This window comes from Homo sapiens, chromosome 6, assembly GCF_000001405.40.
Source record: "Homo sapiens chromosome 6, GRCh38.p14 Primary Assembly".
NCBI classification, from domain to species: Eukaryota; Metazoa; Chordata; class Mammalia; order Primates; family Hominidae; genus Homo; species Homo sapiens.
In genome coordinates, this window is record NC_000006.12 from 167,937,547 (window position 1) to 167,954,879 (window position 17,333).

General features: G+C 41.0%; 1 protein-coding gene across 53 annotated transcripts in view; it reads left to right on the forward strand.

Annotated features, from left to right (window-relative positions):
• AFDN (afadin, adherens junction formation factor) overlaps positions 1 to 17,333 on the forward strand; it is a 145,460-nt gene that overhangs the window by 110,983 nt on the left and 17,144 nt on the right. For 52 of the 53 annotated variants that reach the window (XM_047418788.1, XM_047418789.1, XM_017010878.2 and 49 more), the window contains 7 exons: positions 5,583 to 5,648; positions 5,856 to 5,929; positions 6,395 to 6,513; positions 9,161 to 9,355; positions 10,307 to 10,398; positions 10,747 to 10,932; positions 13,640 to 14,641. In XM_047418788.1, the coding sequence (XP_047274744.1) occupies positions 5,583 to 5,648; positions 5,856 to 5,929; positions 6,395 to 6,513; positions 9,161 to 9,355; positions 10,307 to 10,398; positions 10,747 to 10,932; positions 13,640 to 14,641 (1,734 nt within the window). The remainder of the gene's footprint in view (positions 1 to 5,582; positions 5,649 to 5,855; positions 5,930 to 6,394; positions 6,514 to 9,160; positions 9,356 to 10,306; positions 10,399 to 10,746; positions 10,933 to 13,639; positions 14,642 to 17,333) is intronic. The other variant, NM_001207008.2, reaches the window with a different exon arrangement.

The window sequence follows — 17,333 nt, forward strand, 5'->3', positions numbered from 1 at the left end:
TGAATGCTTATTTCCTTAAATGAAAACCTCCTTTTGTGACAAACAGATTTTATAAATTCAGTTTACTTGGAATTAAAAGAAGTGGTTATTACTTAGAATTCAGATAAATTCTGAATATATAAGAAAATAGAATGTGTCTTATTTGTGCCTTTCCTGACAATCATGGATTTGAGTTCCCTTCCTAAAAGGGCACATTGGGTGCCAGAGCCTGAAGTGCTTTTGTATCTATCTTTCTAAACTAGTAATTTTACAGTTTTATTGCTAACCCATATATAATGGGCATATCGGTTGCTTCTTAACTTACTATTTATTCAGTAAAATTACAGACCTCCTCATCGTAGGTTTTTAAAATAGGAAATTGGCCAAATTCCTTATCGATCAATGTTGGTAAACTATAAGTCAACCTAATTGAGAAGCTCTTCTGGAAGGGATAGAGCTCCTTATATTCAAGAAGCTTCTAATGGAGTTGGAGGAAGGAGCCATTTGCAGAGGTAGCTGTAATGCAGGACACAGTGACTCACTGCTCAAAGAGAACAAAGAGAATCCAATGTGATGAGAACATAAGTGAATGATGATACCTTCCCTGACACTGGGAAGGTGAGTGGGCTGGCAGGTGAGCCTCGGAGGTGAATGGAGAGGATTTGGGCATATATCTTGCATCAGAAAGACACTTGGTGTAGAGAGAACATCAACCAAGTCATGAACATGAGTCAGATAGAATGGGAAGAGGTGAGGGGCGATTTGGGTGGAGAATGACGAGAGAGGTTCATGGAGCTGTGAATAACTTATGCAGGAAGCTGCTGTGAATTTTTACAGCAGCTGGCAGTTACAAGAGTCTGGTCAGCATAGTGTGAGCTGAGCTGTGCTTCAGGAAATGTGATTGGATTTAGAGAGACCAGAAGATCAGTCATGAGGAGAGCTTCCTCATTTTGCCAGAATTTGTCTGAAATTTATAATGTAAACTTCAACCTATTTAAAGATAGGGAGTGCAGTCAAAATATCAGTAGTACATGATCAGTTTTGCTTCAGGATTTAAATTTAGGCATTAAATTTTCTATTGCATATAGTATGATAAATTACCTACCTTAAAATGGTAGAGGATTTCGGGTTCTTTAAATGCCATGTGCTGTTCATGTGGAGTCCACATGTTCAGCTTGCACGTTGGCTGTCTGCTTGTATAGGGTGGCTAGGAAGGAAAAGAGCCTAGTGGTTGCCCTCAGGTATGTGATTACTGCTCTGAATGAAGGAGTTGAAACATGGAGTAACAGGTGCCACAAAACTGAAGTTTATTGTGAAACTGGAACAAAGACATCTTCCAAAAATGAAAATTGGGAGTGGCAGAAGAGCTGACTGGCAGGCAGCACCAACTGTGTGTGCAGGGGCTTGGGTTTTAGGGAGAAATGAAACAGTCCTGTTTTCATTTCTGATATCATTCTATTTTATGATTTTAAAAAGGGAGTTTTGTTATTACAGTTTGTCTAAGTAACTGTCATTTTTTTGGTCTGTATTAATTGTGATCATGTAAAACATACCAGAAATGGAGGAAGGAGGCTTGATTTATTGTTCTAAAATATATATTTGGTATTTCCTTGTTTATAATAGTGTCACTAAAAATGCTGTATTACTAATATTATTGCTAAACATTTTTCTTGTCAGAGATGATAATAATTGGTTATCTTAGTAAAGGGATGATTTTTATTCTTTACAAGGTCAGTATTACATTAACCGGAAGATAATGCCATGTGAAAATGTCGTGAGGTGCCCATTCTCACTGACAGTTGGCATTCTGATGTTCAGTAATCATTGCTTTTCTGTAGTCAGGTGGAAAGCAGAGGAAAAAATAAGTAGTGCTTGTAGAACTTTTTAAAAACTGACCTAGGGTACCAGCTGGAAGGGAATAGGCATGCAGCATTTTCAGGAAAAGAAGAAGAAGGACTATCAGCGCTCCAACTAAAATTATTAGTGGATGACCACAGATAAACTCTGCTGAAGAATAGAAGAAGCTCCCAAACGGCAAAGGTGTTTGTCTGGTTTGTTCATTGATGTGTACGTGGAGCTTAGGACAATACAGGCGCTCGATGGATATTTGTTCCGTGAATGAAATTGTCGTTTAAACAGCCAAGTTGTAGAATTAAAGTTATTCATGAATCACATAAAATTATTAAATGTGTGAAAAAATTCAGTTAATTAGATTATGTATGAGGGATTACCTGATTTAACAAATAGGGGCGGTGAGGAGGGTGCTGTGTCTTAGAAGTATTTTTCCGTAGTGTGTCTTAGGTCCCTAGATTCAAGGAAACCCAACATTGTCACAGATAGAGTGAGGCAAAAAGCATATGTATTATTCTTTTCTAAGTGATATGCTAAAATTCAGAAAGTTGCTGTTTATTGAGTGCCTGCTGTATATTTTATCTTTTATTTTTGAAATTTTAAATTTATAAAAAGCTCAGTCTTTGCCAACTATCCCAGTCATGCTTTTTATGGCAAAAGGATCTGTTCAAGGACCACAGGTTGTATTTGGCTGTTGTGGTGTGTGGACTATGGTGAATGATTTCTAGAGGGAGGTAGCAAGTGGGCCATGAGGCATCTGGGACTGGGCTGGAGACTTGCATTGAGGTGAGAGTGGAAACCATCCACAGGAAAGATGGGTGGACAGACACAGAGAGATGTAGGGGTGAGGGTGGAAACCATCCACAGGAGAGATGTGTGGACAGACACAGAGGGATGTAGGGGTGAGGGTGGAAGCCATCCACAGGAGACATGTGGACAGACACAGAGGGATGTAGGTGTGAGGGTGGAAACCATCCACAGGAGAGATGTGTGGACAGACACAGAGGGATGTAGGGGTGAGGGTGGAAGCCATCCACAGGAGACGTGTGGACAGACACAGAGGGATGTAGGGGTGAGGGTGGAAACCATCCACAGGAGAGATGTGTGGACAGACACAGAGGGATGTAGGGGTGAGGGTGGAAGCCATCCACAGGAGAGATGTGTGGACAGACACAGAGGGATGTAGGGGTGAGGGTGGAAACCATCCACAGGAGAGATGTGTGGACAGACACAGAGGGATGTAGGGGTGAGGGTGGAAGCCATCCACAGGAGACATGTGGACAGACACAGAGGGATGTAGGTGTGAGGGTGGAAACCATCCACAGGAGAGATGTGTGGACAGACACAGAGGGATGTAGGGGTGAGGGTGGAAGCCATCCACAGGAGACGTGTGGACAGACACAGAGGGATGTAGGGGTGAGGGTGGAAACCATCCACAGGAGAGATGTGTGGACAGACACAGAGGGATGTAGGGGTGAGGGTGGAAGCCATCCACAGGAGACATATGGACAGACACAGAGAGATGTAGGGGTGAGGGTGGAAACCATCCACAGGAGAGATGTGTGGACAGACACAGAGGGATGTAGGGGTGAGGGTGGAAACCATCCACAGGAGAGATGTGTGGACAGACACAGAGGGATGTAGGGATGAGGGTGGAAACCATCCACAGGAGAGGTGTGTGGACAGACACAGAGGGATGTAGGGATGAGGGTGGAAACCATCCACAGGAGAGATGTGGACAGACACAGAGGGATGTAGGGGTGAGGGTGGAAACCATCCACAGGAGAGATGTGTGGACAGACACAGAGGGATGTAGGGATGAGGGTGGAAACCATCCACAGGAGAGGTGTGTGGACAGACACAGAGGGATGTAGGGATGAGGGTGGAAACCATCCACAGGAGAGATGTGGACAGACACAGAGGGATGTAGGGGTGAGGGTGGAAACCATCCACAGGAGAGATGTGTGGACAGACACAGAGGGATGTAGGGGTGAGGGTGGAAACCATCCACAGGAGAGGTGTGTGGACAGACACAGAGGGATGTAGGGATGAGGGTGGAAACCATCCACAGGAGAGGTGTGTGGACAGACACAGAGGGATGTAGGGATGAGGGTGGAAACCATCCACAGGAGAGGTGTGTGGACAGACACAGAGGGATGTAGGGGTGAGGGTGGAAACCATCCACAGGAGAGGTGTGTGGACAGACACAGAGGGATGTAGGGGTGAGGGTGGAAACCATCCACAGGAGAGGTGTGTGGACAGACACAGAGGGATGTAGGGGTGAGGGTGGAAACCATCCACAGGAGAGATGTGTGGACAGACACAGAGGGATGTAGGGGTGAGGGTGGAAACCATCCACAGGAGAGATGTGTGGATAGACACAGAGGGATGTAGGGGTGAGGGTGGAAACCATCCACAGGAGAGATGTGTGGACAGACACAGAGGGATGACGAGGTGAACAGATGGAAAATTCAGATCAAAAGCTGCAAAGGAGAATACTTGATTTTGCTTTCTGTAGAACTTTTATAAACTTAGTTGCCAGATAATGTAACCCATGAAATTTGAAGTATATACTGCTCTCCAAAATGGAGTTGCTTTGTTAAATTAAGAAATACTATACTGTTTTTAAAATGAGATATGTAATGGATGGTTTTATGCTTACAAAATTTGACCTGCTACAGGCGTTTTGTTTTGGTTTGGTTTGGTTTGGTTTGGTTTGTTTTTTCCCTGAGGGGATAAAGGGAGTCAGGATCAACAGTGCTGGCCAGTCAGGCTGTCTTCTGTAAACTTAACTTGTTAACTAAAGGGGACAAATGCGAGTGGTTTCCAAGTGAAAATTACATAGCTCCAGGGTGTTACAGAAAATCTGTTTTAACTAAGTCATGTGTTGAATCGTATCTTCGTACCTTTCTGTGCTGTATTTTTACTCTTACCGTACAGTGCCTCGCAGTGATTGAAATGGATTTGTATTTGTCTTCAATCGTTGTGACCTAAGGAATTATGCTCAGTTGTATAACCTTGTCCATAATATCTAAGTAAGATTTCATGCGTAGGACTGCTTTCTTTGATAGTTGCAATAAATTACCCAAAATTTTGATTGTTATAGAGTTAGGTTTAGTATAGTCGTGGTATCCAAGTAGAATATTGGTGATTCTGAAAACAATTATATATAGAACTTAAGTCTATGTAACAGAATTTTATTCTTTCATAATATATCAATTCTATGTGAATTGGGTCTTGTTGCTTTGATATTTATTTACAGTTACAGTACATGAGTTATAATACTGATTATTTTCTGTATGATTTTCTCTTACTAAGTTCCTCTGTTTGCCACAAGAAGTTTTTTTATCATTTAAAATCTTAAACTATACGTATGAAAAGAACAAGGGTATAAGGGAGGATATAGGTAAATGGTGAAATGTAAAAATACTGTACTAGGTTGCTTTTTGTATTAAAATGATTGATAGTATATATCATGCAGGTAGTTTTTAGTTTGCTTACACTTGTGGCTGTTCAGAACTATTCTTAAATTAACTTCAGGATTCCAAGTCTCTATTTTACTCTCATCATTAACTGATGCATGAATAACTGATTTTTCATACTTGTAATTTTCATGTAAAAATGAGAACCAGGACTTTGTTGCAGTTATCTGTGTACATGTTGGGTGGTTTTATTTTTGTTTTACTTTCCTGCATAGTGCATTTCTTACAATATATCTTCAATGCAGTGTTTTCGCCTTGTTTTTGCAATAGGGTGCTGGTCAAGATAAACTAGGAATCTATGTGAAGTCGGTTGTGAAAGGAGGTGCTGCAGATGTGGTCAGTATCATTTTGAAAGAAGTACATTTTCAGTGTGTCATATATTCAGCAAATGATGTGAGAGATTCTGCTGATACTTCTAGTTATGTAGCACTATAGTGCTTGTTGGAAGAACAAATAGAGTATCTACTCATCATTACCTTTTCTTCCTCCCGCTCTCTTTGCTCTCTACCCCTAATCCATGCACACACCTGTGGATTTGCCTAGGATGGACGTCTAGCTGCAGGTGATCAGCTCCTCAGTGTGGATGGACGAAGTCTGGTTGGACTCTCTCAGGAAAGGTATCATTGATTTATTTGCTTGAAGCATAGTATTAGCATTTTTAGGTGATTTTTGCATTAAATGTTGAAATTGGAAGATAAAAACTATGCTAAAACGTGCTCATATTACTCTTTACCTTTTATAGTGTACGTGACATTTCACTTGTTATCAAATTATAAATATATATTTTAATCTAGTACAGTTTCTTTGAAACTTGAAAGAAACATACTCAACACTTCTTTAAATTTCTGAATATTATCTTACTATTCTTAAAATGATAACAGGAGATGTGTTTGCCTATTTTCATAGTCAGTTTTCAAAGGAGAAAATGGGTAGTGAGTAAGCTGTCTGGAAGTCAGAACCATTACTCAAAATAATAGATGAAGCTGTGTAACATGATTTTCCATTGCTATAATCACAGCGATTCATGACAGAGCAGGCACTGCGTTTTAGTCTTTCTTACATGTGTAATCTTCTTCTCCTAGGGCGGCAGAACTCATGACAAGAACAAGCTCTGTGGTGACACTGGAAGTAGCAAAGCAGGGTGCCATCTACCACGGTCTGGCCACCCTTCTCAATCAGCCATCCCCCATGATGCAGAGAAGTAAGGACCAGTAGGGAAACAACAGTGTTTTACAGTCATGGCCTCTTTGAATGGTCACAAAACCCCCATGGAGGAGGTACTGGTGTTACTATCGCCCCAGTTTTAAAGAGAAAGAAATTGAGGATGAGAGCGCTTCAGCATAGTGCCTGGGATTCCCATGTGAACCTTCTGACCTTGGAGCCCACACTGTGAGTCACCAGGACCCCTCCCTGTCACCAGGAGCCATTTAACTTCACCCCCACAGGGCTGGTTGACTGCTGGTGAGCTTCCATAGGCCCGGCACATAGTAGGTGCTCAGTAGAGAATGAATGTGACGTGTTAAGGATGAACTGGGAAAAAAACTAAAGAATGAATGAATGGATTTTCAGTTTTGATAGGCAGACTCAGGATTTAAAGTGTTTAAAGAATAAATTCAGTTCTTCACTGAAGAAATAGGCATCTATTTGTATATGAGTAGTTACCTTAGTCCTGCATTTGCTGAGATAAGGCATGATGATCTCATTCTGTATACAGTCATGCTCACCTGGCAAGGGGGATCCATTCTGAAAAATTCGTCCTTAGTTTATCTCATCATTGTATATACGTCACAGTGTACTACACAAACCTAGATGGTGTAGCCTATTGCTCCTAGGCTGTAGACCTGCACAGCGTGTCACTGTACTGAATACTGCAGGCAACTGTAATTCAGTGGGAACATATCTTCACATAGAAAAACTACAGTTAAAAAAAAAAAAAGTGGAAGAGTAACAATGCTAGACCCATAGAAGGCCACTTAACCCTGAGTGGAGCTTGTAGGATGGAAGTTGCTCTGGGTGCGTCCACGAGTGAGTAGTGAGTGAATGTGAAGGCCCAGGACATGGCCATGACTACTGTGGACTTTATCAACACTCTACACTTAAGCTACACTAAATTTACAAATATATATATATATTTCTTTAATAGTAAATTAACCTTAGCTTGCTGTAACTTTACTACATAAAATTTTAAATTAAAAAAAACCTTTTGACTCTTTTGTAGTAACACTTGGCTTAAAACACAAACATGTTGTACAACTGTACAAAATATTTTCGTTCTTTCTATGCTTATTCCATAAGTGATTTTCTATTTTTTTTTTAATTTATCTTTTCATCTTTTTGGTTAAAATCTCGTACATAAGCACACACATTAGCTTCGGCCTGCACAGGGTCAGGATTATCAGTGTCACTGTCTTCCACCTCCACATCTGGTCCCACGGGAAGGTCTTCAGGGGCAGTGACATGCCATGGAGCCATCACCTCCTGTGGTGACAATGCCTTTTTCTGGAAGGCTTCCTGACAGACCTGCCTGGGGCTACTTGACCATTAACTCTTTTTATAAGTAAAGGGAGTACACTCTAAAATAACAATAAAAAATATAGTATAGTAAAATATATAAACAAGCAACCCAGTCGCATATTACATTATCAAGTATTATATACCGTGTATAATTGTATGAACTATACTTGTATACAGCTAGCAGTGCAGTCTGGCACGACCACAAACACGAGGAATCATTGTACTACAGCTTTACACTGGCTAAGATCATTTAGAAGATAGGGATTTTTCAGCTCCGTTTTAATCTTAGGAGACCACTGTCACGGATGTGGTTCATCATTGACCAAAATGGGCTTATTTGGTTCATGACTGTAATTCACTTAAACATCTTAATTATTTAAATAATTTATTTTCTGGAACTGTGGTTTTACAGCTACATCAAAAAGAATCTCAGGATAAAATCAATACAAATTTAGGGCTTTTAAAATAATTAGTTCAGACACAATAGGAGAAAACCATTGTGATTCATAGCACAACTTGTTAAATGTATACATAGACTTCTAAATATGGCCTTTATGGCTTTCTCCTCCGTAAGGCAGGATTCTAGAAACCTCACAACCCAGAACCTCAAGTTGGTACCTAATAGTAACAAATCACAGCCACAGCCAAGGCATCAGAGAACGTGACTTGCTGCTTCTTGAAGCAAACACACACCACCCAAGGGGCAGCTCAACAAAACCTCGTGTGGTATTGTCTGCCTTGCTCAGCATGTTGTTTACTTTTTATGTCACGTAGAACTTAACATCTTGGTTGTCTAATTTCTTAGTTAGTGGTCATTTAAAAGAAGCAAACTAGAATGTGAGTTAGAAATCACAGAGGGAAGCTGTGAATAGTAGATGATAAACCAGGGTGAGCAAGCAAAAAGGAGGAGAACTGACAGAAGCGGCCGCCAGGAGCGGAAGGCTCACGTCACATGACGGCTGCTCAGAACGATGACGCTGGGCGATTAAAAGTTCAGATATTTTTCTACAAAGTCAGGGAAACATATATATCTTTATTGATTTTTTTTTTAAAGATACTTTAAAAATGGTTAGATTTGTTGCTTAAAATAGTGAAGTTTCAGTTAATGAGAAAATAAGCTTTGAAAGTGTTTATCTTCCCATCATTACTAATTAAGTAAAAATATTTTCTTTATTCTCAGTATATTTACTTAAAAGCTGTTTTATGATTCTGTAGGAAGAATTGACCTTTATCACCTTATTTCTTATGCTAAGAACAATTCTTATGGAATTTTAATGATAATCAGGGTGTTGAAAATAAAATCTTAAGAGATACTGAATATGCTTTGATTCCAGTTTCAGATCGTCGTGGCTCAGGTAAACCCCGACCAAAGAGTGAAGGCTTTGAGCTCTATAATAATTCAACTCAAAATGGGTCTCCTGAGAGTCCTCAGCTGCCTTGGGCAGAATATAGTGAACCAAAGAAATTGCCTGGTGATGACAGACTGATGAAAAATAGAGCTGATCACCGTTCCAGCCCCAACGTAGCAAGTAAGAGTGACACTTTTTTGCTTCCTAAGTACACTTGTGATCACAGTCTGAAGTGAGAGGAGGCACTTTGTGGTTTGTTAATTATTAAAATTATTCTCTGCAAACATTGGCTAACTAGGATATGGTTTTCATAAGGGATATCATAAGTAACATTTCTCTAACAAAAACTAAGATGGAAAAACTTTAGATTCAGTTGATCCCATAAGCAAATACATTAATAACATCTCTATTTGGGGTTGGTAAATTACCAAGAGAAACTAAAATATGTTTTACATTTTTTTTTTTTTTTTTGAGACGGAGTCTCACTCTCTCGCCCAGGCTGGAGTGCAGTGCAGTGGCGCGATCTCGGCTAACTGCAAGCTCCACCTCCTGGGTTCATGCCATTCTCCTGCCTTAGCTTCCCGAGTGGCTGGGACTATGGGCGCCCACCACCACGCCCGGCTAATTTTTTGTATTTTTAGTAGAGACGGGGTTTCACCATGTTAGCCAGGATGGTCTCGATCTCCTGACCTCGTGATCTGCCCGCCTTGGCCTCCCAAAGTGCTGGGATTACAGGCTTGAGCCACCATGCCCAGCCAATATTTTTTACATTTTTAAAGGGTTGTTAACAAAGAGAAGAAGAAATAATAGAAGGATATGCAGCAGGAGACAAAGGCTCACAAAGCCTAAAGTATTTACTTTCTGGCCTATTACCAAAAATGTTTACCAGTCCCTGGCCTGATACACAGAGCTACAAAGGTTTTTTTGTAGCTCTGGGCTCTGATTATTTAAAAGATGGATGTGGATATGACAAGACCTGATTTCTTACCTGCCTTGATTTTTTTTTTTCATCTCTGTGCTGGATACTCACTAGCAGTATGAAGATGAATGAGGTCTTTAAGGAAATTTCATGTTATATATAGGTTGTTTATTTAATATTACACTTTTTTTTTTCCCCCCTGACTTGAGCAGATCAGCCTCCTAGTCCTGGAGGGAAAAGTGCATATGCCTCTGGAACAACAGCGAAGATAACATCTGTCTCTACTGGAAACCTCTGCACTGAGGTCTGATTGATTGATAAGCAAAAGGCTTCTACTGCATTTCCATCCTTAGGGTTCCCTTTGGACATCTCAGTTATCTAGTACAATTTTTACTCTGAATTAGCATTGATTATAATTTCTAAATTTGCAGTGTTTTATCTTTTGATTTTTAATATACTAGTCAGGTAAATCAGTTTTAAATTAATAAGTCTGGGCAAAATGAAATGTTATTTATTCTCAGTATGGATCAAACACTTTTTAATGCAGTATTTAACATATACTATTTTTTAAATTTTAAAACAGATCATTGAAAATCAAGTTAGTCTGTATGGTTGTAAAAAGCTCACTTTTTTTGTTCTTCACATTTTACAGGAGCAGACGCCTCCGCCTAGACCTGAAGCCTACCCCATCCCCACTCAGACGTACACCAGAGAGTATTTTACCTTCCCAGCTTCCAAATCCCAGGATCGGATGGCTCCTCCTCAGAACCAGTGGCCAAATTATGAGGAAAAGCCACATATGCACACAGATAGTAATCATTCCAGTATTGCAATTCAGGTTAGAAATCAAAGATTCCACACACTTTTCTCACCTCTCAAGGAGGACACACTGAGTTCTGAGACACAATTAATATTTTCTATAGAACAGCATTGTTGGCCTTTTGTTTTTCCTTTAATGGTTTTGTGGTTAAGTTTGAGGAAAAAAGGAGACAGGATAGAATACTTAATAAGAAAAAGGATTATCTGTTCTCTGATGTTTGATTAACAAAATGTTAGGAATATAAGGCCTTACAATTTTTAAGACAAAGTTCACTGATTCTAGAAGTGAGAAATTAGAACTCAAGTGGTGTATTTTGCACTGTATCAGGAGCTATCCCTGCCTGTGGGAGCTCATGGTGTGGCAGGGAAATGAGACAGACACAACAGACACAGCATGGTCAGTGCTGTGGGAGAAGAGGCCCCAGCAGGGGATGGAGCTTCTCAGTCTTGGACGAGAACCTGGGCACAGCTGTATGCACGGAAGGGCCTTCCAGGAGGAGGGAAAGGCACAGAGATGTGTAGTAGTTCAGCAGGAACCCTGGGTAGAGGGGAAAGGGGTGGCAAGATCTAAGGCAGTGAAGATAGGCGGGGCCAGACAGAAGGGCTTGACATGACAGCTAAGGAATTTGATTTTTGTCCACATTAGTAGACGGGTGATGCCAATCTGAGTAGTTAAGCTGGGGAACGTTATCCAATGTGGTTTTCTTTTTAGAGAGATAACTGTTTGTATGGTGAAGGATTGGGAGAAGAAATTAAAGGTATGCTTAAAAATAGTTACAGTCTAGGATCTGTGACAAATACATGCCCTGGATCGCAGACGCTCTAGGAATTCTGAAGATTAGCATTCTTAGAGTGGTTGGAAAAGACAGAATTCAGAGTTGAGATGGAATTTGAGCTGAGCCTTGAAGAATGAGAACAGTAGGCAGCGGAGAGAGGATTGCACTGAGGAGATGGACGCTGTGATACAGATGAGGAGGAGCCTGTTTTCTGACGGCAGAAAATGCTCCTCAGGCCACAGATGTTGGCTATCAGGAGATTTCATCTTGGCCTTTTGTCTGGTGTGCTGGTCCATCCTGCTGTTTTCCTAGGTGGGCCTGATCACCTGCAACGGCCCAGTCTTGGGAGTTTTGGATGCACTCTGTCACCAAAAGCTGGAGTTATCTGGGAGAAGGTGTCTTTCTCCAAATTTCTCTTTAAAAATTGAGTAATTTTGTGCCCTAGTCCTTCTAGTATCTTTTGTTAGAACGTAGGAGAATCTGCTTCCCATATGTCAAGACAACCCAATTTGTAGTGCATACATTGAATCCCATTTTTATGCACAGTATTTCCTGTTGTGTGGGGCTGGCATTACGTCTTCACATTTATAGTATACAGCTGCTACTTGTTTCTACCTCACATGGATAAACAATACCTAGAGGAGAGAGTTGAGGAACTGAGAGGCAGGCCAGAGTGTGGAATGAAAAGTTATGATGGGGTTTAAGCGAGGAGGTGGAGAGTGCGAGCCAGCAGCCGGGGCCAGTGCAAAGTCTTAAGGGAGCAGAGAAGTGACTCAGGTCAGCCCTTCCGGCAGCAGGGAGCGGCGGTAGGCACAGTCTCTGTTTTTATGTGGTCCATAGATTTTATACCCCAGTAATGAGACTCTGTGTACTAAGTAAAGCTCTAGCAAAATGTTGGGAGTAAATGTTCCATTTTTCTGTGAGACTACTGCTTTTTGAAGTGATACTTCATCTTTGTTGTTGGTTTGCTTTTTAAGGAAAAGGAAATAATTTGTTTTCCTGGTTTACATCTTTAATTTGTATTCAGTAACAGGGCAGGAAAAAGATGCTTGATTCAGACCTCATAGTGATCATGTTTATCTGAGTAGACTCCTTTCATATGTGCCATTTCTCAGATTTTAGACTAGCCCTTTGGAAAAAGTATACTCATTTTTCTCTGTGTCTGTGTGTGTGTGTGTGTGTGTGTGTCATTTCTCTCTGTCTCTCACAGACACACACACACATACCCCTACCTTTGTGTTCAACACATTTGTAGCAATACATTTTGGACCTTTCTGGTATTGGAGCGGACGTATCGCAGATGTGTGGGACTTGTCCTTGCATTACTGTGCACAGCTCTGTCAGCCCAGAAAGCCAGTCCTTAGCTTGTAAAATGCAGAAAGTCACGGATGGTTACATGGTTAAGATTTAATAATCACTCGTCATAGTAATTAGAGAAGTACCTGTTGTTGATTTTTACATATTATGAATAAACACACTCATTGCTTTGAAGTCCAAGTCACATGTCTGGCTCTGCAGTGGAGATGGTGCTGGGCACACAGGAGGGTGAGGAGGATGAGGATGGGCACTGGCACTGAAGGGCCTCGAGGCAGAGAGAAAGTACAGCTTTGCTTTTTTGCTTTTTTTTTTTTTTTTTTTAAATTTTAGTCGAGACAGAGACTATGTTACCCAGGCTGGTCTCGAACTCCTGGGCTCAAGCAGTCCACCCACCTCAGCCTCCCAAAGTGCTGGGATTATAGGCGTGAGCCACCACGCTTGGCCGCTTTTCCTTCTTTACACAGATAAATGCACTGTTACTCCACATTAGCCAATGAGCCTTGTAGGGCAGTCTCAGTCTCTTTCTGTACACTGATTTAACAGTTTTTCTTCTGTCTGAAGATAAAATGTTTGTGGATATTTGGTAATTTCTAGTAAATGGCTGAAATATAATAATTCTTTTTCTTTTTGCAGCGTGTTACACGTTCCCAAGAAGAACTTCGAGAAGATAAAGCTTACCAACTTGAGCGGCATCGAATAGAGGCAGCTATGGACCGAAAGTCTGATAGTGATATGTGGATAAATCAGAGCTCCTCACTGGACTCCAGTACCTCTAGCCAGGAGCATCTGAACCATTCCTCTAAGTCGGTCACCCCTGCTTCCACACTGACCAAAAGTGGCCCTGGCCGTTGGAAAACACCAGCAGCCATACCGGCCACCCCTGTGGCCGTCTCCCAGCCAATCCGAACAGACCTGCCTCCGCCACCCCCGCCACCTCCAGTCCACTATGCCGGTGATTTCGATGGAATGTCCATGGATTTGCCTCTCCCACCACCCCCTTCCGCCAACCAGATAGGGCTGCCGTCTGCGCAGGTGGCTGCTGCTGAACGGAGAAAGAGAGAAGAACATCAGCGTTGGTATGAGAAGGAGAAGGCCCGCCTGGAGGAGGAGCGGGAGAGGAAGCGGAGAGAGCAGGAGAGGAAGTTGGGCCAGATGCGCACTCAGTCCTTAAACCCTGCTCCGTTTTCTCCCCTGACTGCACAGCAGATGAAGCCCGAAAAGCCTTCCACACTCCAGCGGCCACAGGAAACAGTCATTCGGGAGCTGCAGCCTCAGCAGCAGCCCCGCACGATCGAGCGCAGAGACTTGCAGTACATTACAGTCAGCAAAGAGGAGCTTTCCTCGGGGGACAGTCTGTCCCCCGACCCGTGGAAGCGGGACGCCAAGGAGAAGCTGGAGAAGCAGCAGCAGATGCACATCGTGGACATGCTGAGCAAGGAGATCCAGGAGCTCCAGAGCAAACCGGACCGCAGCGCCGAGGAGAGCGACCGGCTGCGCAAGCTCATGCTGGAGTGGCAGTTCCAGAAGAGACTCCAGGAGTCGAAGCAGAAGGACGAAGATGACGAGGAGGAGGAGGACGATGATGTGGACACCATGCTGATCATGCAGCGCCTGGAGGCTGAACGAAGAGCGAGGGTAAAGGGGGGAGTGCTTTGGCTGTGCCCATCTGTGGTCCCTATTTTAGCTTCTGCGTGTTTCCCATGGGGATAGCTAGGCCCCTGATCGTGATAAGGATTAAAAGGGCCCCTAGGCTTATACTGTTTTATTGTATGTGTTACTCTTGGCTGATGTCGTAGAGAAATGAGTCAGGCCTATAAGGCTAAATTTTTTAAGACATGCTTTGACAAGTATTAAATACAATTCAAATGGAACTTGATTGTTTTCATTAGCAAACTCATAATTATCCTTTTCCTTAACACTTCCAGTTGAGAAAACAAGTATTTGTTAATGACCAGTAATAATCTTGATCCAGGGTAGGCAAAATTTTTCTTCCAGGGCCAGATTGATACTTTAGGCTTTGCAGGCCACGGGGTCTCTGGCAACCCCCAGCTCTGCTGTTGTAGCACAAAAGCAGCCACAGGCACAAGTAAACACATGGGTGTGTCTCTGTACCAATAAAACTTTATTTACAGAAACACAGGGCAGATGACTGTCTGGCCCCTGGTCTTGTCAGCATTTTGTGGTGGTGAACAAAAGAAACTGTTCAGATCATTACATTTACAGTCATTACCAAAAATAGAATCTTCACAGTAGTTGTACTGTTGATGAAGCAAGCATTTGTTAAGGTAATAAACAATTATATTCCAATTGTAGCATAAAGATATTGAGAACTGATTTTATTCTTATTTCTCCACAGTATGAAAATGATTTTTGTTTTAAATAAACTAACAAAAGTATAAATTCGTTTAACACAATAAATTGTGATGCAGAAATTTTAGATAAAAGCAAGACTTTGTTACTCTATAAAGAGAACTGTTAAGAGGCATTTACTGCTATTAATTTGGGCATTTATTAATATTAATTTATAGAGAATGCTATTGACCATATTGTGTTCATGAGTTTTAGTGATTTTTTTTTCTTTTTTAGACACAGTGCAATATTTTGAGAAAAGATGGCCAGAGCCATGTTCTTTTTATCTTTTGGATTCTGTTTCTAATTTCAACTGTTTTTTTATGCTGTTAATGGTAAAGCTCTACCAGGAGCTATTAGGTCAGACATTTTAATCTTTCTACCTCACAATGAAATTTAACCTTAGATAATAATTTGTGAGTCCTTAGATCCTTGGAGCCCAGTAGTGTGATTCTTTTTCGATTTGCTCTGTGAATTTTTCCTGAAAAGTCTCTCTCACACATACTTCTTAATATATACATATCTCAGCCAAAATGTGTGTATATATAAAACTTTGCCCAAAATTCAGCTTGAATCCCCTTAGACACTTAAGTTTCTTAAATGAGGCCAAAGTGTGAATTATTACATTGTTTTACTACTATTTTTATTAGTATTCCTCAAGTCATTAGTAGTAAACTTCCTGATGAGTAGCTGTGTTTACTGTAAGCACTGTTTTATTTGAAAAACCAACCACTACATTAATAGCTATTTTACTTTAAAAGTAGCTTAAAAATTACAGTACTTTAAAAGTACTCTGCATTCCCCTCCCCATCAGAGCTCTCTGAAAGGTGCTGGGCCTGCTGGCGCCAGGTGCATGCTCCTCTGCTCTGGCCAGTGTCGCTCCTGGGTGCACTAAGATGGATTCGTTAGGATCCTAAGGACGTTCATGGCCTTGTGTCACCCACACCCCAAAAGATGAAAAGATGTCTTTTCCTTCGCTGCATTTTCAACTCTGAATATACAACTGTTGTGTATGGCAAATGAGTCAACAGTATCAGCATTTCTTATTGTTATAACTGTATCCTGACAATAATGAAAAATTAGCCTTGTAGTATTTCTGTAAGTATCTTTTTCTGTGAGGACTAAACTTTTATTTAAAGGTCTCTCAGAGTTTTTCCAAATGGGTTAAAACACTGAATATTTCAAAGCCTTTTAGTATGAATTGCGATATTTGGAAAGTTTCTTATGAAAATTTAGTAAAAAATATTTGCTTTTTGCTTAGTAGTTCTGTTACAATTAGTATCTTAGTCTCCAAATAAGAAAGCTAAGGGAAATTTTGCTGTTTTTTATTTTCTATGTATCCTAATGATGAAACTCATTTAATACCATGTGGGCATTTTTCTGTTTCTGAATACTAGAAGTTAGTCTGTAGTTCTTTACCTTTCTCATCAAGTTGTCGAAACACAGATGACGCATGATAGTGAGAAAATATGCCGATGGCAGATTACAGGTCTAAACCTAACTTTTTTTTCCACACTTCATCTTTCTTTTTTTTTTTCTTTCTCTGTTACCTGCAGCAGACTGCTATGCCAGCAATCTCTGTTCTAGATTTGGTATGTTCTTGTTTCTTTCCCTTTGGTACTTTTTTCCTGTCTTGATTTTCTTTTCTTTCAGTGGTGGCTGTTTGATGTTTTCAGTAGATCCAGTTCTCCTTAGGGGTGTCCTCCATCAGGAGATGGAGTCCCTGACACTTTAGAAGCATGCCTTTGAATGTTCCTAGATTTAGTTACTCTTTGCTTTTCTCCGTTAATTTTAAGTGTTACTGTTTGTTTATGGTTTTGACCTTTTCTCGGTTTCAGTCATAAATTGATTCCGTGTATTCTTACGTAGTCATAAATACATGAGCAAATGAAATAAATTTTGTAATGAGTAATCTATTTCATTTTTTTCACATTAGACATAGATTTTAAATATTCAGTTGTTATAAACTCAGCTGAAA